At 56.2% G+C, this 21,032-nt stretch overlaps 1 protein-coding gene across 6 annotated transcripts, besides 9 other annotated features; it reads left to right on the top strand.

Annotated features, from left to right (window-relative positions):
- Window positions 1,687-2,434: an enhancer, noted in NCBI's record as "H3K27ac-H3K4me1 hESC enhancer chr8:22089242-22089989 (GRCh37/hg19 assembly coordinates)". NCBI's record gives its function as "activates a minimal SCP1, AML or CMV promoter by ChIP-STARR-seq in primed H9 embryonic stem cells {active_cell/tissue: H9 hESC(primed)}" and the evidence as "EXISTENCE:reporter gene assay evidence [ECO:0000049][PMID:30033119]".
- On the top strand, window positions 2,064-14,460 carry PHYHIP (phytanoyl-CoA 2-hydroxylase interacting protein). Of its 6 annotated transcripts, NM_001363311.2 has the most exons (7): window positions 2,064-2,367; window positions 5,254-5,375; window positions 5,777-5,970; window positions 7,138-7,312; window positions 9,820-9,937; window positions 12,276-12,859; window positions 13,945-14,460. In NM_001363311.2, exons 3-6 carry the CDS (start codon window positions 5,806-5,808, stop codon window positions 12,808-12,810), a joined length of 993 nt encoding a protein of 330 aa, NP_001350240.1. In that variant the 5' UTR covers window positions 2,064-2,367; window positions 5,254-5,375; window positions 5,777-5,805; the 3' UTR covers window positions 12,811-12,859; window positions 13,945-14,460. The 6 variants fall into 6 exon arrangements, 5 of the variants coding, with proteins under 5 accessions (NP_001350240.1, NP_001350241.1, NP_001092805.1 ...); NR_156475.2 differs by lacking the exon at window positions 5,254-5,375 and having other exon boundaries at window positions 12,276-12,979; NM_001363312.2 differs by lacking the exon at window positions 5,254-5,375.
- Window positions 3,360-3,529: an enhancer, noted in NCBI's record as "experimental_102823 CRE fragment used in MPRA reporter constructs". NCBI's record gives its function as "activates a minimal promoter by MPRAs in K562 erythroleukemia cells, with activity observed for both the introgressed and non-introgressed 8:22088232 variant alleles {active_cell/tissue: K562}" and the evidence as "EXISTENCE:reporter gene assay evidence [ECO:0000049][PMID:34662402]".
- Window positions 5,591-6,790: an enhancer, noted in NCBI's record as "P300/CBP strongly-dependent group 1 enhancer chr8:22084886-22086085 (GRCh37/hg19 assembly coordinates)". NCBI's record gives its function as "activates an origin of replication core promoter dependent on BRD2, BRD4, P300/CBP, MED14 and CDK7 cofactors, with strong dependence on P300/CBP, by STARR-seq in HCT116 cells {active_cell/tissue: HCT116}" and the evidence as "EXISTENCE:reporter gene assay evidence [ECO:0000049][PMID:35650434]".
- Window positions 5,591-7,049: a biological region, named in NCBI's record as "P300/CBP strongly-dependent group 1 enhancer GRCh37_chr8:22084886-22086085".
- Window positions 5,634-6,341: an enhancer, noted in NCBI's record as "H3K4me1 hESC enhancer chr8:22085335-22086042 (GRCh37/hg19 assembly coordinates)". NCBI's record gives its function as "activates a minimal SCP1, AML or CMV promoter by ChIP-STARR-seq in naive and primed H9 embryonic stem cells {active_cell/tissue: H9 hESC(naive and primed)}" and the evidence as "EXISTENCE:reporter gene assay evidence [ECO:0000049][PMID:30033119]".
- Window positions 6,342-7,049: an enhancer, noted in NCBI's record as "H3K4me1 hESC enhancer chr8:22084627-22085334 (GRCh37/hg19 assembly coordinates)". NCBI's record gives its function as "activates a minimal SCP1, AML or CMV promoter by ChIP-STARR-seq in primed H9 embryonic stem cells {active_cell/tissue: H9 hESC(primed)}" and the evidence as "EXISTENCE:reporter gene assay evidence [ECO:0000049][PMID:30033119]".
- Window positions 9,811-10,313: an enhancer, noted in NCBI's record as "H3K4me1 hESC enhancer chr8:22081363-22081865 (GRCh37/hg19 assembly coordinates)". NCBI's record gives its function as "activates a minimal SCP1, AML or CMV promoter by ChIP-STARR-seq in primed H9 embryonic stem cells {active_cell/tissue: H9 hESC(primed)}" and the evidence as "EXISTENCE:reporter gene assay evidence [ECO:0000049][PMID:30033119]".
- Window positions 13,449-14,149: an enhancer, noted in NCBI's record as "H3K4me1 hESC enhancer chr8:22077527-22078227 (GRCh37/hg19 assembly coordinates)". NCBI's record gives its function as "activates a minimal SCP1, AML or CMV promoter by ChIP-STARR-seq in primed H9 embryonic stem cells {active_cell/tissue: H9 hESC(primed)}" and the evidence as "EXISTENCE:reporter gene assay evidence [ECO:0000049][PMID:30033119]".
- Window positions 18,919-19,781: an enhancer, noted in NCBI's record as "H3K4me1 hESC enhancer chr8:22071895-22072757 (GRCh37/hg19 assembly coordinates)". NCBI's record gives its function as "activates a minimal SCP1, AML or CMV promoter by ChIP-STARR-seq in primed H9 embryonic stem cells {active_cell/tissue: H9 hESC(primed)}" and the evidence as "EXISTENCE:reporter gene assay evidence [ECO:0000049][PMID:30033119]".

Genomic DNA, 21,032 nt, shown 5'->3' with positions numbered 1-21,032 from the left:
TTTGGCAGAAGGGGAAACCAAGTCACAGAGAACCTGCCTTTTTCCTTGCACTGCCCCTCTGTGTGGTCCTAGGGACAGGATTTTATTATTTATTTATTTATTTATTTTTCGAGGCACAATCTCACTCTGTCACTCAGGCTGGAGTGCAGTGGTGCAATCTTGGCTCACTGCAACCTCCACCTCCCGGGTTCAAGCGATTCTTGTGCCTCAGCCTCCCAAGTAGCTGGGATTACAGGCGCCCACCACCACACCCAGCTAATTTTTATATTTTTAGTAGAGATGGGGTTTCGCCATGTTAGCTAGGCTGGTCTCGAACTCCTGATCTCAGGTGATCTGCCTGCCTCAGTCTCCCAAAGTGTTCGGATTCTTGTGAGCCACTGCGCCCGGCCTGGGACAGAATTGTAGTCCAGATGTCATGTGCTGGCCATCACCAGGAGGTTACGTTTTGCATCTCTTCTGAGCTCACCAGCTCGGCGTGGGTATGTCGGAGCAGGACGTAGTCATGCTTGGCCAAGGGGGTGCTTAGTCCTGCCTCAGTGCCACGCACCACCCCACATTCGGCAGTTCAGGACCTGGCCAGGCTCACTGAGGTTCTCACAGCCGTTTCAGGCAGGGTTGGCTTCTGCTTGTCTTTGCATTCTGTGAACTCTCACTTTCTGCTGCTGTTACCTCCTCTGACTTTTGCACTGAGGCCTGCCGCCTCAACTCCCTCTTGGTGAGTGTTTCTTAGGCTCAGCTCACACCTTCTCCTGCTCACCAAGACCTCACCCTGGGCCTGCCTGGTGTCAGCTGCCCCCGTGCCAATCCTCCCCACCCCAGCCGCACTCCTGCTTCCACAGCCTCCTCTGGCCTGCACCCTGCACGTGCCCTGGAGCCGCCCATTGTTCTTTCTCTGAATGAGTATCTGTGCCCTACGATTTAGTTGTGTGCTCCTCATTCTCTAATTGCATCCTCTAAATGGCCATCTTCTCTCCCGTAGAGGACTGTGGGCTCCTTGCAGGAAGATGCTGTCGATATGATGGGAACAAGAACAGTTCTGACATGTGACTGGCACTTCTGATGTGCCAGGCCCAGGGCTGGGCGATTTACCTAATTATTTCATTCCATGATGACAATAAACCTGTGTGATCCCACTTGACAGATGAAGAGAGGTTGAGTGGCTTGTCCAAGGTCCCCCAGCTGGGTAGCAGTAGAGCAGGGATTCTCAGCACATCCATCTGACTGTGAGCCTGTGCTTTTCACCACTGCGCAACCCTCTGTCCCTGCTTGCTGCTGGACTCACATTTCCTTGGATGTTCTTCCCGATGGCCTCCACGGAGTCTGCTTCTTGATGGCAGAACAGCCTCCTGCTGCCGTGAGAGCAGAATTACATTCTCTCCCCAAGATGCCCAGGGCCGGCTTCCTTTGTGCTCAGAGAGTGGGGTGGGCTGAGGACACTCAGAGCTTGGTGTGTTCTCCCACCCCCATTTTCTTACCCCTGTGCACCCTGCACTGTGCCACAGCCTCTCTCCCAGCCCCTTTTCCTGTGGACCCCCAAGCTGCCAGAGGGTTCTTGCCAGACCCACAGGGATCCCTGAGCTGCAGGTCTGCCATCTCTCTCTAGAGTTGGTAAGAAAATGGAACCACAGTTCACCAAAAGGCCCCAAGGAGAGGCTCCGGACTGAAGACAGCCACCCCAGCTTCACACCCCCCATCTGGACCTTTCCCCTCTACAGCCTCCCTCCCCTTCCCCCAATCAGAGTCTTTGCTTTGGGGCCCAAGCCCTTGGCTAAGCTCCACCCCTCTCCCAGCATCCTAAAGTTTGGGGGCTGCATTCAAGTCAGAGATTTCCAAGTAGGGGGTGTGTTGGAGGGACTTCTGAGGGCAGCTTGTCCTGGAAGAATGGGGGAAAGGCGGCGTGTGTTGCTGTCCCTGAGGACATCTGTGTAGCTCCCTGGGAGACCCTCTGCCCTTTCCCCCTCCCACCAGCCCGGCGAGCAGGGACCAAGCCTGCTTATTATCACCTGACGCTGCGCAGCCGCTGATCCCATTGGTGGAGGCAGATTCGGTCTGGCTCTCTCGTTCTTTCTCCCTTCTCTGCCTCTCTCTCCTCCACGCTGCTTTGATTTCGCTCTTGCCTCTCTTCTTGCGCTGCTCAGCTGGGAACATCGTCTCACCAGGGGCAGCAGCGACGCGCTGCACAGCCAGACAGGAGCTGGCTGCGGGGCATGGAAGCAGCCTCCTTGGCAGCCGGGAGAGGAGCAAGCGCACGCCACTGCCCGTGACCCAGGCGTCCGGCTGCTGTCCCCTGCCGGGGAGCTCATCCACGCAGAGGTCTCTCCCTGTCCTCCCTGCGAGCTTTTCCTCTGCAGAGCCCAGTGGAGCCAGGTGAGTACCCTTCCTCCCTGGAACCTGCTGCTGTTGATCCTGAGTAGCCGGGATCTGGGGGCTCTAGGGTCCTGCCACCACCCAGGGTGCCCACCTGGACTGCCAGGCCTGACGACCTTGTCCCCTCTCCCCCCCCCCGGCCAGGCCTTTGGCAAAGTGGTTAATGGCTGAATCCAGTCTCTGGGGCACCACAGTTAGTCACCCCGTGACCGTTCTGCTGCAGTCAGCGATGCCAACAGGGACAGCAGGGTGGGGGAAGCATTCCCTGTGGCAGGGTGGCTGTTTGAATGGGCATGGGGAAGGGGCACCGGTGTGCGCGGCGTGTGTGTGTGCGCGCTCGCGAGTTGGCTGGAGGCTTGCTGGCGCAGATAGGTCCGTCTGTCCGCAGTCATGCTCATGTGTGGGTTTTGAATGGTGTGAGGCATGTCTAGAAACATATCTTTCTGGCACACGTGAGGTACATGTGTGTGGGGGACTTATTTGAGTAGCCTGTGGGTGTGCGTGGGTGGGGACACTATGAGGCAGTATATTTAGGGGTAACCATGTCCCTTTTCATGTGTGTGGGAGTGTATGCAGACAGGGGCTTTCTATATGGGGAGGTGAGACCCAGAGCAGGATGGAGTGGGTAAAGAGAAGAAGGGGCAGAAACCATTGTCTGTGGGCAGAGCCACGTAGGTGCACAAACCTGTTGGCATGAAGGCTCAGGGCTGGCAGAGTGTGGCCAGAGGCAAACACATTTTCAAAGTCTGTCTTTGAGCCTGGAGATGATTCGAGAGAGAATACCAGACTTCGGGCGGGGGCTGCTGTGTGTATGAACACACATGTGTGTGCCGGCAGGCGTGTGGGTTGCGTGCCTTCTTGTGGAGGTGGCACACATGCATGTTGGTGCCTGTGGCATCCTCTTTTCCCCACATATGGCTTGTGAGGCGGTGTGCGTGGACGTGTGTGTGCGTGAGCCTGTGGACATGAACATGTCTGGGTGTGCATGGAGGTGACAGATTGAAGAGGGAAAACTGTGGGGCATTCTTAGAATGTGGAAGGTGGCAGCAGGCACCTGAATGTGGAGATGGGTGTGTGGGAGTGAGGACATCTGCGGAGGTGTGGGACGCGGGTGGGTGGGCACTCTTGGCGCATGTGTGTATGCGCGTGCGTGCCTGCCTGTGTGTGGGTGTGTACATGCCTGTCTTGGGGTGGATCCACACAGGAGTGTGGGTGTTTCTCGGGTGTTGCCTCAACCTGTCCCTCACACCCTGCCCTTCCCCAGTCTTCTGGGTGTAGAGAACTTGGGTTCACACCCACCCCTCTGTCCACCCCAGCTCACTCACTGCCACCCTCCCAAGCTAGCGGGGGGATGTCATCTCAGCTTTCCCAGAACCGTAGGGAGGGAGGGACAAGCAGACACCCAGGTCCTGGAGACCCCTACCGCCAAACACAGCTGCCCCTATTTCTAGGAGGACTCCAAGGAGAGGCAGGAATAGGTGCCTACTCATGGGACGAGTGTGGGCTGCCTCCGAGCGTGTGGGTGGGTGCCGCTCAGGGCCTCTTGGGTAGGAGTGTGTCTGTGTTCGTGTGTGTGTGTGCGTGTGTGTGTGTGAGGGGCACATGTGTGTCTCCCTGGGAGCTTCTCACCAGGTTCCCAAGAGATGGTAACTCCCCACTGCTCCACACCTGTCCCCATGAATTACAAACTGGTTTATTATGGTAGGGTTGTTTCCAGACACTCAATCCCATCTGCCTGATTTTGGGGTGGGCCTGGTAGCACCGCCATGCTTATTTACCATAGGATTCCCCATGCACAAAGCCACCGGCATTTGGCTGTGGGGTGGGAGGCTAAGATGAAACAGGACTTGAGTGACACCTGGAGCAGGTAAGGGCCATCACCTTTAGCCTTCACCCTGTACTTGCCATCCAGGCAACTCACAGGTTAATACAGAGGTGCCAGGCTCTGGAGCAAGCTTAATTGACAGGAAGGTGTGGGCTGGATCCTCTGGAAGCTATAAATAAAAGTACCTGCTTTTGCAGGCACAAGATGCCCTCACCACTAGCTCCTGGGCAAGGGGAGGAGAAAAAGAGGGGAGAAAGAAGAGAAGGAGGTGACATTTAGAAAAATGAGGGGTGCCAGGAACTGGGCTGGAGGAAGGGATTGGAAAGCAGGAGACCAAATGCCCCTGGAGAATGCCCCACCCACGTCTGCTGTCCCCTCCCAGACGCTGTCACTCCCCTTCCCTTTGCTCTTCCCCATCCCGGAGCTAGGCCAGCCAGGCCAGAGTCATGGCCAGAGTCAGCTCTTCCCAGCTAAAGCACACATGAGAGTGACCGTGATGAGGTCCTCTCATACCTGGACGAGCAGCAGACATAAGGGGAGAACCAAAGGAGTAAGACAGGGAGGGGAGAGAAAATGCAGTTGCTTGAAAGGAAACGATGGAAGGAGGAAAAATGCCAGGTGGAAACACCATGGGCACCCATGCATGCACACACGCCACACATGTGCCCCTCCACCCCCACACATGAGGGGACACTATCTTAGCTTAGTGATCAAGAGCTTGGGTGCCGGAGTTCAAATCATTTGCTCTCTGCGTGGCCTTGGGCATGTTAGTACCTCCCCAACCTCAGTCGCCTCATCTGTAAAATGGAGATAATGATAGTGTGTGCCTACTTCCAAGGTTGCATGAGACGTCTGTGAAATTATGAGCACATGGCCGGCCCCTAATAGATGTTAATGTTAAAAGTCATGATTGAAAGGAGTCAAGAGAAGATTGGCCGAAAGAGAAAGAGGGATCATCAAAAAAAGTTATGGGTGGAAAAAGAGCTTGAAGCCGGCTGTGCCGCGTACCCCTCCCACCACGAATGTGTCCACATGCACCAACGTGGCACTTGTCCTTCCAGCCATGTACCGCGGCAACGCTTGCTGACCCCAGTGAGGAGAGAGGCCTGAATCCGAGGGCCCTGGCACCTGTGAGCTCTTGGCTGTCACCTGCCCCAAGCCTCGCACCTCCGCTCCACAGCAGGTGCTTCCTGCGTTTCCTCCGCCTCTCACCCGTCCTCTCCACCCCCACCCCTTTCTCTTTTCACGCCTGCTGGCTGAGGGCCCCCTCCCTCCTCGGCTCCATCTGCTGCAAATCTGTCCCCGCCCGGCTTTGCAGCATTCCCACTGCCTCTGCCACCTGTCAGGTGCCGTCTGCTCTGCAGACCCCTCCGAGGAGAGCAAAGAGCCCCCCGGGCAGGCACCCCTTTCCACCCTCCATCATCCTTCTCCAGCCTCCCCTGTACAGTCTTTCCCATCTGGTTCATGAGGCATGTGGATTCCAGGGGTCCTTGAGGTTCCGCCTCGAAAGGGATATTGGGAGGAGGACATTCCAGAAAGCTCGCCGGGGTCAAGGGATGTACTGACCCTTTCCCTCCTCCTCAGTCCCCACAGGAGACAACCCTGACGGGAGCATGGAGCTGCTGTCCACGCCCCACAGCATTGAGATCAACAACATCACCTGCGACTCCTTCCGCATCTCCTGGGCCATGGAGGACAGTGACCTGGAGAGGGTCACCCATTACTTCATTGACCTTAACAAGAAGGAGAATAAGAATTCCAACAAGTTCAAGCACCGGGTGAGTAGAAGGTGTCCTGGGAGCCCCTCCCCAGCTTCTGTTCCTGAAGGAGGCCGGATAAGGGAACACCTGGAAGTGATGGCTTGGAGTCAGAGGCTGGTTAAAATCCACACTCTTCTTCCTGTGTCATTTTGGGAAAGTTACTTGACCTCTCTGAGCCTGAGCTCCTTCCCTGGTAAAGAGGGAATAACAATGCCAAGCCTCACGGGGTCGTGGAGAGGATGCAGTGAGTCATGTTTGCGTGGTGCTTGGCCCGGCGCCTAGCACAGAGGGAGCGTTGTTATCAGCGCCACAACTGAGACTTCAGGCAGGGGCAGAGAGCCCGGGTAGGGTGGGGCCGCAGGCTTCGCCTATGGGGATGACGTCTCAAGTCTCGACAAAGCCCCGGCTCAGGGCACAGCCTCGCTGTTGGCTGGGTGGGCCACACGGGCCTCGGTCGGGGCGGAGCCCTTTTGCTGTGGCCTCAGTTCTCCCTCTCGGGCCCCTCACCTGCTGGCCTGCCATTTGCTTGACTTAGAAAAGGAATGGGAGAGAGTCCTCCGTGGGTGTGTCCTTTCCTGGGGTTAAAAGCCAGTGTGGGGGTGGGTGGGAGGAAGACCCCCATCCTCTCAAGCTGGCAGAGGCAGGGGGAGTGAGGCGGCCAGCTGGCTCCCAGGCCGACGGCACCGGCGTGGGTTACTCACCCGCTCTCTTTCTCTGGAACCGGCTCTCCCGATCTGGGTGTCTTTTGGCAGGCCAGTTGCCACGGTGACGTGAATGTTCAACACCACCCCCTTAACCCTCCCCCCCAAAGAATAAGGCATATTTTCCCTTCCTCCCTGGCTTCTCAGCATTTGCCGTTGCCGTGGAGACGGCACTGCAGTGTGCAGAGCTCTCAAAGTCTCCTTAAAAAATGAAGGCCTTGCCGTCCTCAACTTTGTGGCTTTTCCCCTCCGTTCCCAAGAGAACGGGGTGTCAGGGGGGTTCGAGGAGGGGCCAAGGCTGTGGAGTGTCTGGGTGGCCTTCCCAGGAAAATGGTGGCCAGGGTATGGAGCCATTGGATCCTCAAGATTGGTCCTGCTCAGGAGAAACAGGGCCATCTGGGGAGTGGGGATTCTGGGGTGATGCCCAGATTGGGCATGAACCCCTGTTTGACGCCTGGCTCTCTGTTTGTACCCTGTTTCTCAGGACGTCCCCACCAAGCTCGTGGCCAAGGCAGTGCCGCTGCCCATGACGGTGAGAGGCCACTGGTTCCTGAGCCCCCGCACGGAGTACAGTGTGGCCGTGCAGACGGCAGTGAAGCAGAGCGATGGGGAGTACCTGGTGTCCGGCTGGAGCGAGACGGTGGAGTTCTGCACTGGGGGTGAGGCCCTGCTATCACACCCCTGTCCTGCTGCTTGGCACGTCGGGCTTTGCTGTGGTCAAGGCGGGTCTTCCTCGTAGTCCAGCAAACACTGATGAACACCTTCTGTCCACCAGGCAGCGTGCTTGGGCCACAGGGGAGATGCACGGGCATGACACCCTCCCTGCCTCCAGGAGCCCAACCTTTCTCTTCTCTCACTGGAGGCAAATGCGAACCCCACTAATCACGCTGGCAAGACCACTTCCATTAAGAAAGGGAGTTACTTTTCGGGCTTGGTACCAGATCACAGGCATCTTTTTAAACCTTGTGGTCAAAGGTGCATGACGTAAAATTTGCCGTCTCGACCATTTTGAAGTGTACAGTTCAGTGGTATTAAGTATATTCACATTGTTGTACAGCCAGTCTCCAGAACCTTTCTTCCTGGAAAACCAAAACTCTATACCCATTAAATAACCGCCCCCCATTTCCCTCTGCTAGCTACCATTCTACTTTCTGTTTCTATGAATATGACTCCTCTAGGTGTCTCATATCAGTACAATTGTATAGGATTTGTCTTTTTGTGACTGGAATATACCAAAATTTCCTTCCTTTTTGAAACTGGATAGTATTTCATTGTATGGATAGACCACATTTTGCTTAATCAATTATTTGTCAATGTGCACTTGGTGAGGCAATCACATTTCACTTGTTCTGAGCCTTCACGTAGCCTGGGAAAATGGCCCCTGGTCAATGGCCCCGCAAACTCTCTTAGCAGAACTTAACTTGTAGACTCCATCACAAACAAACAGTGGGCCTATGTGTGCTTGGTCCCTCACGACTCAGGGTCTGCCCCCACAAGATTACATTCTTTTGGTGTTCACGGTGAGAGCTGCTCCAGATCTCTCTGTCACACAGAAGAGACACGGAACATTCTCAGCCCCGGGCCTCTGAGGCTGCTGGCTCTATCCTTTGCCAAGATTTATGCCCCAAGTCTCCTTGAGCTGCTGTTGTCTTTTGAGTGGTGCTTTTTCTTTTTTTTCTCCTTCTGCCTTTTTTTTTTTTTTGAGATGGAATCTCGCTCTTGTCGCCTCCTGGCTGGAGTGCAGTGGCGTGATCTCGGCTCACTGCAATCTCCGCCTCCCGGGTTCAAGCGATTCTCCTGCCTCAGCCTCCTGAGTAGCTGGGATTACAGACGCCCACCACCATGCCTGGCTATTTTTTTTTTTTTTTTGTATTTTTAGTAGAGATGGGGTTTCACCATGTTGGCCAGGCTGATCTTGAACTCCTGACCTCAGGTGATCTGCCTGCCTTGGCCTCCCAAAGTGCTGCGATTACAGGCATAAGCCACCATCCCTGGCCTTTTTCATTTTTATTTTTTGAGACAGGGTCTTGCTCTGTTGCCCAGGTTGGAATGCAGTGGCATGATCATGGCTCACTGCAGCCTCAGCAACCTCCTCCCCACGAGCCCAAGCCATCCTCCCTCCTCAGCTTCCTGGCCTCCTGAGTAGCTGGAACTACAGGCACATGCCACCATTCCTGGCTAATTTTTGATATTTTTTTGTAGAGATGGAGTTTTTCCATGTTGGTCAGGCTAGTCTCAAACTCCTGGGCTCAAGTGATCCCAAAGTGCTGGGATCACAGGCGTGAACCACTGCTGCTGGTTGAGTGGTGTTTTTTCTTAGCTCTGCTGCAGAACCCCACTCTCTGGAGGCCTCTTGCTCCTGGTGGGGAAAGCTTCTTGGTTTACCCCTGAGACCTCCATGTGCAGTGGGCATTTAATTCAAATTGGAGATCTGGCTGCAATCCAGTCCACACTCCTCTCTCCAAACCAAGCACCCTGGCCAGGGATGCAGCCACAAAGAGGGAAGGGCATCTTCTAATTTGTACCAAGGAGCTGTATGTGCCAGCAGCAGCCTTGCTGGGGCCCCAGGGTTCAATGTTGCTATCCTGTTTCCAGCCTTCCCTGTTTCTCCTGAGATGCTCAAGCTGAGAGCCATTGCTCCAGACCCAGGACTGCCTAAACATTGCCTGGGCTCAGTTCTCCCTAGACCCTCACGAGCCGTCACCTGTAATTACAGCTGGCTTCCATGGGGGTGGTGTGGGCAGCCTCCTATCTACTGTATTTGAGAGACTTTCCCAAAAGGACCTCAAGCCCTCCCGTCTCAAGTCTTCCTTTTTCCCAGGGGTCCTCTTTTCACATGAGGATGGCCTGGGATCACAGCCCCTGAGGACCCTGGCAGGATAACTGGGCAGCCCTCTGCCTTTTTCTGACCCGGAGAGCCCGGAGCCTCTGGCAATGTGGTTGCAGAGGTGATGACGACAGACAGTATGCAGCGCTCTGTGTTTCCAGCAGAGGCCAGCTGGCCTGTTCCCATCTGAGTTTAAGGTTCTGCGACTGTCTAGTCTCCCCTGCTGCTCTGGCGGACAGAGGTTGGCCGGCACACACAGTGTGGGGTGGGGTGGGGACAGGAGGTGTTTGTGCTCCTCAGCTGGCCCTCGGCTCACCTACCGCATCTGGGATCTTGCAGATTATGCCAAGGAGCACCTGGCTCAGCTTCAGGAGAAAGCTGAGCAGATCGCAGGCCGCATGCTCCGCTTCTCCGTCTTCTACCGCAACCATCACAAGGAGTACTTCCAGCATGCCAGGTATGGGCGCGGGCTCCCGGCTGGACCCGCCGGGCCTCTCCTCCCTCCCAGCCCTTCCTGCTCCTGTCCTGGCTGTCTGAGGTCACCCCCACCCTCGTGGCTGCCAGTCCCTCCTCTAGGGTTGACATGTCCTGACGTCACCAGGCTGGCTCTGAAGAGACTGCTACTTTGGGGATTGGGCTCAGGGAAGATCAAGGGCTCTGGGGACAGGGCCTTCTGCAAGAGTGTTGTACTAATGAGCCTGGGAGAATGAGGTCTGGGTTTGCTCCCACTCTGGGACAGTTCCTTTCACAGGGGTCTACCACCACAGGTCTCTCCGATTCAGGCCCTGGGGCCAAAGGGAAGGTGGCAGGGAGTGCACAAAATGAGTGTTCTGATCACAAAGGGTTCGAGGAAGCACCCAGCTCGTCGGTTTTCAAACTGGGTGCTCCCTCCAGGGAGACATGTCAGTGAACCCCTTAGAATGCTGCCATGGGGTTGGGGGGACCAGAGGTTGAGGCTTGGTGGGCCCCACACCTGACCTCCAGTCAGAGTAGCCTCAATTTTATTTGCCTGTGACCCTTCCACGTATAATTTCTTTTGGGGATAAAAAGAGAGTTGCTGCAGTCCAAAAGTGTTTGAAAATTGGTGATCTGATCCAACACCCTCAGCCTACAGAAGAGGAGCCTGAGGCCCAGAGGGAAGCACTTGTTCATTCGAGCCAGGGAGTCACTTGTTACTGAGGACAGCCAGGACCAGGCAATGTGAGGCAGGACCAGGAGTACCCACCATCCCCGGGCCTGCTGGCAAGTGCTCCAAGGCCGCATCCTTCTGAGGCTCAGCCAGGGCAAGCAGCTGCTCTGCCTTTTTTTTTTTTTTTTTTTTTGAGATGGCGTCTTCTCTGTCACCCAGGCTGGAGTGCAGGGGCGCGATCTCTGCTCACTACAACCTCTGCCTTCTGGGTTAAAATGATTCTCCTGCCTCAGCCTCTTGAGTAGCTGGGACCACAGGTATGCGCCACCATGCCCGGCTAATTTTTGTATTTTTAATGAAGTGGGGTTTCACCATGTTGGCCAGGCTGGTCTCAAACTCCTGACCTCAGGTGATCCGCCCACCTCGGCCTCCCAAGGTCCTGGGATTACAGGCATGAGCCACCACGCCCGGCCTCTGTCTGTCTTTATCCTTACAGTCAGGGCAGTTTTAACCTCAGGGCAGTGAGGACCTTGGGAGTCTTTGGGGTTTGTATTAAAGAAGCAAGGCCTGCTTGGTGGCTCAAGCCTGTAATCCTACCACGTTGGGAGGCCGAGATGGGATCTCTTGACCCCAAGAGTTCAAGACTAGCCTGAGCAACATAGTGAGACCCCAGCCTCTGCAAAAAATTTAAAGAATTAGCCGGGTGTGGATTGCTTGAGCCCAGGAGTTCGAGCTTGCAGTGAGCTGTGATTGCACCACTGCACTCCAGCCTGGAAAGCAAGTCAGTGGCCCAGTTTGGGCTCCTTTATCAGCGAGAGTGGGAGAGATAGAGAGCACTCATGGGTGCCAGGCACCTTACTTGGTGCCAGGATGTAAAGATAAAGGCACAGTTCACTCTTTTGAGAACCTCAGAATCCAGTCAGAGAGACAGTATGGAAAGATTTCATGTAAAAAGTACGTGTAATTGTTGAGCACAGTTCAGTGTCCTGGCCAGGTGAAGTGGCTCACACCTGCAATCCTAGCACTTTGGGAGGCTGAAGCAGGAGGATCACTTGAGGCCAGGAGTTCAAGTCCAGCCTGGGCAACATAGTGAGAAGATTGGGTGTCCTGCACATAGTAGGAAGCCAAAAATTTGTCAAGTGCAGGTGTCTGCTGTTCCTGGGAGGTTTTAGAGGGGAGCAGACGCTTGACTGAAGCTTGAAGGCTAATTAGAAGTTTGCCAAGCCAGACGGAGGAAGGTGGAGAGGGCAGTCAGTGCAGCAGAGGGAAGAGTCCTGCATAGGGGTCACGGAGGCAGGAGACTGTGTGTGCAGGGGGTGGGTAAGTGGATGGGGTGGCAGGAGGTGGGGAGTGGCAAGGAGACCACAGAGATCAGATCATGAGCCGCCGTGTTTTTCACACACACCCCATCAAAGGGTTTCAAGCTGGGGAGTGACAGCTTCATATCTCTTCTCTGAGAAGGAGTGGGCTGGTTGAATCCCTCTCCAGGGCCCTCCCTGCTCTTGCATTCTGGAATGTTCTATTTGCGACTAGTGGAGGCGGCTGGGGGAGGGCTGGGAGCTGGGCTGGCTTCCTCCCTCCTCGACCACACGCAGCAGCCAAGCCTCAGCCCGGCTCACCAGCCACATCTTCTCTTCCCTTTGGTGTGTCTCCCTGGGGTGGGCAGGACCCACTGCGGGAACATGCTGCAGCCTTACCTGAAGGACAACAGTGGCAGCCACGGCTCCCCCACCAGCGGTATGCTCCACGGGGTCTTCTTCAGCTGCAACACGGAGTTCAACACGGGCCAGCCCCCGCAGGACTCCCCCTACGGCCGCTGGCGCTTCCAGATCCCAGCTCAGCGCCTCTTCAATCCCAGCACCAACCTCTACTTTGCGGACTTCTACTGCATGTACACGGCCTACCACTACGCCATCCTGGTGCTGGCGCCCAAAGGCTCCCTGGGGGACCGCTTCTGCCGCGACCGCCTGCCCCTCCTGGACATTGCTTGCAACAAGTTCCTGACCTGCAGCGTGGAGGATGGGGAGCTGGTCTTCCGCCACGCCCAGGACCTCATCCTGGAGATCATCTACACTGAGCCCGTCGACCTGTCCCTGGGCACCCTGGGGGAGATCAGTGGGCACCAGCTCATGAGTCTGTCTACTGCCGATGCCAAGAAGGACCCCAGCTGCAAGACCTGCAACATCAGCGTGGGCCGCTAGGGACTCCTGGGGAGCTGGGGGGCGAGGGAGAGATGAGCGGAAGGTGGAGGTGGGTAGCCCAGGTTCAGGGAGCTGGCTTTCTCTCTCCTGCCCCCCTGCTCCCTCCACTCTGCCCAGCTGCCCTCCCCTCGCCCCTTGGCATTGGAGGCAACAGACGGTGGTCCTCTTGGTAAGTGTGGCCCACACCCAGCCTGGTGGACATGGAAAGGCTTCTCAGCCTCTGTAGTTGGCAGCTGGGCTGGACTTCTGGAGAACTTCCCCTTTCCTCTGGTTTCCTTGTCCTACTGTTCTTTGCCTCGTCCAGGTCTCTATCTCCCAAAGACCTGCCCACCTCCTGGGCTCTCCCAGGGAAGCCCCTCTGGGCCAAAGCCCATGGGTAGCTTGGCTGCCTCCAGAAGAGATGCAGAGAGCTGTGGGGCGATCTTTCTTAGTCCCACTCACCCCACTCAGGGCCAACCACAGAATGCCCCCTCCCTGCTGAGCTGGGTCTCTGGGGCTTCCCACTCCAGGCCTGGATCCCTTCCTTCTATAAATAGTCTCCTGCACCACCGTGACTCCCTGGCTGCTCCTTGCCCCAAAGAACCCTCTTCCTGCATGGGAGAGCTGTCCCTCCTTCTCCACCTGCCCACCGGGACACTCCCCCTGCTCTCTAGAAAGGAACTCTCTTTCTTCTCTTGGCACTGGGGGCGTCAGGCTGTCGGATGTTCCTTCCTTCCATACCCCAGCATACCTTCTCCTTGCTTAGAGTGCAGGGGTCTGAGACAGCAGCCACTGGGGTTGAGGAGGGGGAGGAGACCCCTGAGACCCAGAGGTGCCCCTTCCTCAGCTGGGAGTGGGCCGCCTCATGCTCTGCTGGGGCCTGGCATGGAACGTGAGACCTGTAAGCTGTCCCGCGGGCCCCGGCACCCCGCCCAGCTGTGCACTTTGCTCACTCGCTCTGCCATGGTGCCATGACTGTACTGTGCCCATGCGTGACCTGGACTGTGGACCCTCTGCTGCTCCGCCTCTCCCCTCCCCACTGGCTCTGTCTGCTCTCCTGCCACCCTGCTGGCCGGGAGCCCCTCCCCGGGGAGTTCTTGGTGAAGTCCTTCCCGGGCCTCCTTGTGTTTTTGCCTCATTCCTACTGTCACACAGGTCACGAGGGTGGACTCCCTACAATCAACAAAGCAAACAGAGAGCCTGTGGGAGGGGCTGACAGCAGCAGCCGGCTGTTTGGGGGATGATGGAGGTGACATCAGGCAGAGGAGAGTGCAGCCTCACAGTGACTTTCTCAGAGGTGACAGAGATGATGGATGAGCAGCTGGATTTTCGTGATGAAGGACGGAAGCAGCAGCGGGCCGGCAAGGCCATACCTCGGTGAGGGACAGGTGGACAACGGTCACCTATCTGTAGCCAGGGGCAGTTGTGTGGCCAGCTGTCTCTCTGGGATGAGTCAGGAGGCCTGGAGGCTTGGGGAGAGGTGTGGAGAAGGAGAGAACATGGCCCAGGCCCTTTCCTTCCCCCTGTGCTGACAGCATTGCTGTGGGGGTGGCCCACTGCCCTCCCCTGGCCCTCATGTCCCCCCGGGGCTGGGGTCCGCCTGCCTGTGCTGTGCTTGCGACGTGCATCAATAAACCACCATGGCCTGAGGGCCCTGCTCGTCTCAGTCCATTTGAGCTGCTGTAACAAAATACCACACATTGGGTGGCTCAGAAACCGCAGATTCATTTCTCATAGATCAAGGTGCTGGCAGAAGCGGTGTCTGGTGAGGGCCTGCTTCACAGATGGCTCTTTTCACTGTGTCCTCACAGGGTGAAAGGGACTAGCAAGCTCTCTTGCCCCTCCTTTTTTTTTTTTGTAGACATGGGGAATTTCACCTTGTTGCCCAGGCTGGCCTCAAACTCCTGGCCTCAAGTGATCCTCCCACCTGCTTGGCCTCCCAAGGTGCTTGGGATTACAGGCATGAGCCACTGCTCTGGGCCATCTTGGGCCCCTTTCATAAAGGCACTAATCCCATTCATGTGGCCCCACCCTCATGACCTCATCGCCTTCCAAGGCCCTGCTTCCTAAAACTATCACCTTGGGGTTAGAATTTCCACCTAGAGCTGGGTGAGGTGGCTCACGCCTGTAATCCCAGCATTTTGGGAGGCTGAGGCAGGTGGATCAGTGGAGGTCAGGGGTTCAAGACCAGCCTGGCCAATATGGTGAAACCCTGTCTCTACTAAAAATACAAAATTAGCTGGGCGTGGTGGTGCATGCCTGTAATCCTAGCTACTGAGGAGCCTGAGGCAGGAGAATTGCTTGAACCTAGGAGGCGGAGGTTGCAGCAAGCCGAGATTGCGCCATTGCACTCCAGCCTGGGTTACAGAGTGAGACTCCATCTCAAAAAAAAAAAAAAAAAAAAAAAAAAAAAGTCAACCTAGGATTTAGGGGGGACACAAACATTCAGACCATAGCACCCCATCCCTTTGGGCCAGTGATGGTATGGGTGAGTTCTGCAAACCACAGAGGAGCTCAGGTGGGAATGCCCCCAGGACAGGCGACCTGAAATCAGCTCCAAGGGAGCACCTCGTCCATTGTGGGAGGCGGGGCTCAGGATGTAGAGCTGAGTCTCCAGCTTGGAAGGGACTTTGGAGTCTTTTGGTCCCACCCAGTGTTTCCCATATGGGGCCTCCCACATGGGGCGTCCTAGGAGAGGACTCACAGCATCTGGAGGCCCCGTTTGGAGCTTTTGAAGCCTTCCTACTACAGCAGCTTGCCATTGCTCCAGACCCAGATGCCACCAAATGTCCCTGTCCCAAGTGCCTGAGTGTCCCCGCTCCCCAACACAGCTCCCGTTTATAGATCCCAGTCACCTCTGCATCTATCATTTTATTATTATCATTATCATTATTATTTTTGAGATGGAGCCTCGCTCTGTCACCCAGGCTGGAGTGCAGTGGCACGATCTTGGCTCAGTGTAACTTCCACCTCCCAGGTTCAAGCAATTCTCCAGCCTCAGCCTCCCACGTAGCTGGGACTACAGGTACATGCCACCATGCCTGGATAATTTTTGTATTTTTAATAGAGATGAGCTTTCACCATGTTGGCCAGGCTGGTCTCGAACCCCTGACCTCAAGTGATCCACCCACCTCAGCCTCCCAAAGTGCTGGGATTACAGGCATGAGCGAGCCACTGTGCCTGGCCATTATTTTTATTTCTTGAGACAGGGTCTTCCTCTGTTGTCCAGACTGGAGTGCAGTGGCACGATCATGGTTCACTGCAGCCTCAACCTCTGGGGCCCAAGTGATCCTCCCACCTCAGCCTCCAGAGTAGTTGGGACCACAGGCGTACACCACCATGCCCAGCTAGGTTTTTTAACATTTTTTATTTTGTAGAGATGGAGTTTCCCTGTGTTGCCCAGGCTGGTCTCAAACTCCTGGGCTTAAGTGATCCTCCTGCCTCCCAAAGTGCTGGGATTACAGGCTTGAGTCACTGCACCTGGCCTGCATCTATTGTTATGGACTTATTGATATGGTCCTCTGCTGGAGTAGAAAAGCTCTAAAGAAGTCAGAGTCCTCACCAACACTGCCTGACTCAAGGCCATGTTCACGTGTGTCATCCAGAGCTCAGGGCACAGCCTTTTTGGGGTAGAAAGGAAAGCAGAAGGGCAGATGATGGCTCCTGAGGGCCTACTATGCACCAGGCACCTGGGTGCTGTCACACACATCAGCTTCTTTAGTCTTCACGATGGTCCTGGGGAGTATTATTCCCACTTAACAGAAGTAGAAACTGAGGCACAAAGCCTTGCCCATGTCTTACAGCCTGTAAGTGACAGTGCCCAGGCTTTGATTGAGATACCAGAATCTTCCCATTTTCTGCCCTGTGCCTGTCTCCTCTAGTGTATGTCAGGGGCTACCTGGGACAGTCCTGTTTCAGACACAGTGACACCCCCAGGGGTCCCCTCCACAACACCAGTTAAGCACGTCTGTGCCTAGTTCCAGAATATCACAGGGGTGGGCGGGGGGAGGCTATGGAGTCACGGAGGGCACAGAAGCTTATTTTAAAGGCATAGTGGAGCGGAGCCGGACCATGGTATCACGCGCCTGTAGTCCCAGCTACTTGGGAGGCTGACGTCGGAGGATCACTTGAGCCCAGGAGTTCAAGGCTACAGTAAGCTATGAGCGTGCCACTGCAGTCCAGCTTGGGTCACAGAGCGAGACCCCAACTTTTGAAAAACAAAGGGAGTAGTGGGCAGTACCTCAAATCCAGCATTCTGAGAATGGAGTGACTCGGGGCCAACCCTTCTGCCTCTGGGCGGGCCTGCACAGGATTCTCCACTCCCAGCTGAGAGGGTTTCAGTCCTCCAGAGGGGCAGGCTCCAGTCTTCCTTTTATGAACCCTTTTGGGTTTCTTGGGAGGAGAGGAGAGATTGGCTCCCAGAGCCCTCATGGTGGAGCATGAAGGCAGAATGGAGGTAGGATTGTGGGAAGCCCCAGGCAGGTTCCTTCAGAGAGCCTTCTGCTTCTCCTTCCTCTGTCCAGATGGTGAGTCCCGGCGCACAGCCAGCCCTGCCATACTCGCTCGAAGCACCAGTCAGACAGAGCTGGGTCAGAGCGTCCGCTGGAGTCCGCCCTGGGGTCCTTTCTGGCCTATTCTGACTTGGTGGAAGGAGAGAGGTCCACGTGGGAGTGCACACACACATGCACACACACACGCCTACACATGCACCGCCCCCGCTGGGCTGGATTTAGAGGACAGCCTAGAAGGCCACAGACAGCTGCAAGGTGAGGGACAACCCTGAACCCGTAGCTGCCACTGTCCAGCTGAGGGGCCCCGAGTTAGTTCTTTCCGGCAGTGCAGGCAGCCAGGGAAAACGAGGTGGCGGCCACAAGGGGAAGCTTCAGATGCCAGGTGAGGGGTTCCGCTGTGCAGGCACAAACACACAGACATACCTGACACAAACACGTGGTGGCACGCGCTTGGTCCCCGACACACACACAACTCACAACTGAAACTCCTCTGCTCGGGCGCGCACCCATACTTCCCTGCCGTTCCTCTGCCCCTGGACCAGCATCTTTCATTTTAACCTGGGCATCCCACAAAGTGGAGGGAGGGGAGGCGCCCGCTCTGAGGACGCTAGCAGTTTCATTTGGCTTTGGTATGTGTCTCTTCTCCAGGTTAGGAAAGAGGTGGCTGGAGTCCCAAGGAAAGGGACGAGGAGGGTCCATTCCCCAAAGTGGAGGGAGGCCTTCAGGAAGCGGAGCCGAGGTGATTGGCCATAAAACAGCTTGGCCACAACATCTGGAGGAGATTGGAACCAGATGTTCAAGGGGTGGGGGAAGGGAGGGTGTGGGATGGAGGGGGCTGGGGCAGCAGAGGCAGCAGCTCTGGTTGGCGGGAGGCTGGGCTGGGGGCTCAGGGTTCTCTGGGGAAGACATCTGGCTGCCCTGTCCCCCACTCTCCAAGTCAGGCATTACTATTTTTGCAAACCGGAGCAACAAAGCTTTTCGGATTCTAGAATCGGCCTTGTGCGTAGGGACAGTCAAGTACAGGGTGTGGCTTGGGAGGCCACCAGCTCGCCAGAAGTATGTCCCTTGCTGCCCTGAAGCCCCCTCCTTGCTGTGGGCTCAGCGGTGCCCCTCCGGCAGGGGAAGTTCTACACTAAGCTCCTAGTGCCCACCTGGAAACTACTTTTGTACCTGAAAGTTTCCTTTTAATACAGGAGTGGAGTCGTCTGGGAGCGAGCAGAGGAAAGGAAAAGCAGGCCCATTTATTAAGAGCCCCCTTTTGCCAGGCACTGTGACCGGCTGTCTTCAAAGGTTAACTCATTCCTTCTTTTTTTCCTGTCACTCAGACTGGAGTGCAGTGGTGTGATCTCGGCCCACTGCAGCCTCAACCTCCCAGCTCAAGCAGTCCTCCCACGTCAGCCTCCCATATAGCTAGGACTACAGGCATGCACCACCACTCCCGGATAAATTTTTAAACATTTTTTGTAGAGACAGGGTCTCGCTATGTTGCTCAGGCTAGTCTCAAACTCCTGGGCTCAAGTGATCCTCCCACCTCAGACTCCCAAAGCACTGGGATTACAGACATGAGCCACCGTGCCTGGCCTCATTCCTTCATAACCGTATCATCCCACACTTATCCATGAAGAACCTGAAGTTCAAAGAAGTGACTCTTCCAGGGTCACGTAGCCACCAAATGGTGGGGCTGGTGTTCAAAATGGGTTTTGTTTGCTCTCAAGTTTGTCGCTTTTTTACTACTGGGGATCCTGTGGGGTTAGAGGGAGGGGCAGGGAAAAAGAGAAAAAGGGAGTGAGGGACAGAGCCAGGCACTCAACTTTCCTTATTTTACAACTGAGCCAACACTTGTCCCTGGAAGCTGCCACATCTCTGCTGAGGGTCCCAGTCACTTCAATTGCCTGGTGCCCTGCCCTCTGACTGCTTCGGAGACAAGACGTTGGATTTTCAAATCTGTCTCTCAGGACGTGGCAGGAAGGGTGCTGGGAACAGGTGATAGGTTTGGGGAGCAGAGGACCAGGGAGGGGGCAGTGGGCCAGTGTCACAGAGCTAAGCGTAGCAGAGCCAGGTCTCCTGACTGCCAGGCTCATGCTGCCCTCTTGGCCGAGGGCTCCAGAAAGTTCGAAGCTCCCAGGGATGTGCTCACCTTGACCTGGCTACTGGGGCTGGGAGTGTAGGGTCGGGGCAGCTGCATCCCGGCTTTTCCCATGCGAATGCTTATCATGAGCTCAGGACCCCAGGGGACCTCAGCTAAGCCCCCAGGGGACCTGAGGTGCTGGGACACAGGAGGAGGAGCAAGTGTACCTTCCTCTACCATGGAATCACCTGCGCAGAGGGGCAGCTGCACTGGGTGGGGGTGGGGGGCTCGTCTAGAACCCTGGGCAGCTAGAAGGTGAGGGTAGGATGGGCCCACAGAACACATCAATTTACCAAATTCTGAAATACACATCAGTGGCCTGCAGCCAGCTCCTGAGGGGCTTCCATCACCTGAGGAGGCGGATCCTTGCTCCTCCTCCCCTTCCTCCCCTTCCTCTCCATCCTCTCTCTCCTTCCTCCCCTCCTCCTCTCCAGCCACCATCTTGTCTTCCTCAGCACTCTCTAGCCTCCGTCCTCTGAGTGTTCCTCCTCTTCCTCCCTGTCCTCTTCCTCTTTGTCCTCCCCTCTCCTCCCTCTCTATCAAATGGACGCCCTTATCCATGCTTTGGGCTGCCTCCTGCCCAATTGCAAGCACCTGCGGGTGGACATCTGGGCATCCAGACAGGCCTGTACCCCTGCTTCTTGGCTGACCAGGGCAGAAGATCCGGAACCGCCATGTGGACCTCCTCGGCGGTCTTCAGGATCTTTATTCACTCCATGGGGTGGGTTGGGAGCGCCCACGGTGGCCGGGGCTCCTGCACTGCTTCCGTTTGGGTGTGGGTGCTCTCTGAGATACTCTGTGCCGAAGCTCCCCTGGCTGGGCCTACCCTGGACCTAGGGCACCACAGCCCCTTGCCTACCTCTGAAGAGGGGCCTACGGAACGTCTGGAGGGCTCGCTGGCGTGGGTTCTTGAGTTGCTGGAAGAACCCATGTTTGTGGGTGATGGAGTGTTGAGACGTGTGCCAAGGTGGCTGCATGGGTTATCCTGAGCCTTCCTCTAGCTGGGGGTTGCTGTCCATAAGGACCCTGTTTGGGGTGGGGGACCCAATGTATCTCTGTGGGCTGAAGCCCCTGCCTGGACAGGGTTATGACCCTGGCCTGTGAGCTGGGACTGTGGTCCTTTGAGCTTCCGAAGGACCCAGAGGGCTGGTAAGGAGATCTATGGCCACTGACCACCAACTCCGTGGCAGAGCTCATGCCAAGTGGGTGGGCAGTGTCTGGGTGAGATGCCCAGGCAGCTCCACCAGTGTAGAGGTTTTTCCATTCTGTCATGGCCCTCCAGGCTGTCCTAAGCCTCCCTTTCAGAGGAAGCAGCAGCAGGGAGGAGTGGCTGTGACATCACAGCCTGTGACTCTACTGGTGCAACAAGCAGTAACCCCTCTGGGCACCTCTAGCTCTCTCTCAGGGCCCTGGGGCCACACTGGTGGTCAGGCCTCGAGGAGACAGCTACAGCCTGAGCAGTAGAGCAGGTGGGCTTCCTGGAAGAAGAGGGCCCTGCGTACACATCCAACACTCGCAGTGTGCCTGCTTTCCACTGATACCTTCTGCTTAGAGGGCCAAGATGGAGTCCCCCATGCCAGGCTGCTTCCTGGGGGTGGGGGCCC

Source organism: Homo sapiens, chromosome 8, assembly GCF_000001405.40.
Source record: "Homo sapiens chromosome 8, GRCh38.p14 Primary Assembly".
NCBI classification, from domain to species: domain Eukaryota; kingdom Metazoa; phylum Chordata; class Mammalia; order Primates; family Hominidae; genus Homo; species Homo sapiens.
The sequence above is the reverse complement of the archived record's forward strand: the minus strand, read 5'-3'. Positions and strand labels throughout refer to the sequence as shown.

Coding starts and splice junctions, on each gene's coding strand:
- PHYHIP (NM_001363312.2), top strand. CDS start 5,806: ATGGAGCTGCTGTCCACGCCCCACAGCATTGAGATCAACAACATCACC. Junction 5,971..7,137: donor CCAACAAGTTCAAGCACCGG/GTGAGTAGAAGG, acceptor CCTGTTTCTCAG/GACGTCCCCACCAAGCTCGT. Junction 9,938..12,275: donor GAGTACTTCCAGCATGCCAG/GTATGGGCGCGG, acceptor TGGGGTGGGCAG/GACCCACTGCGGGAACATGC.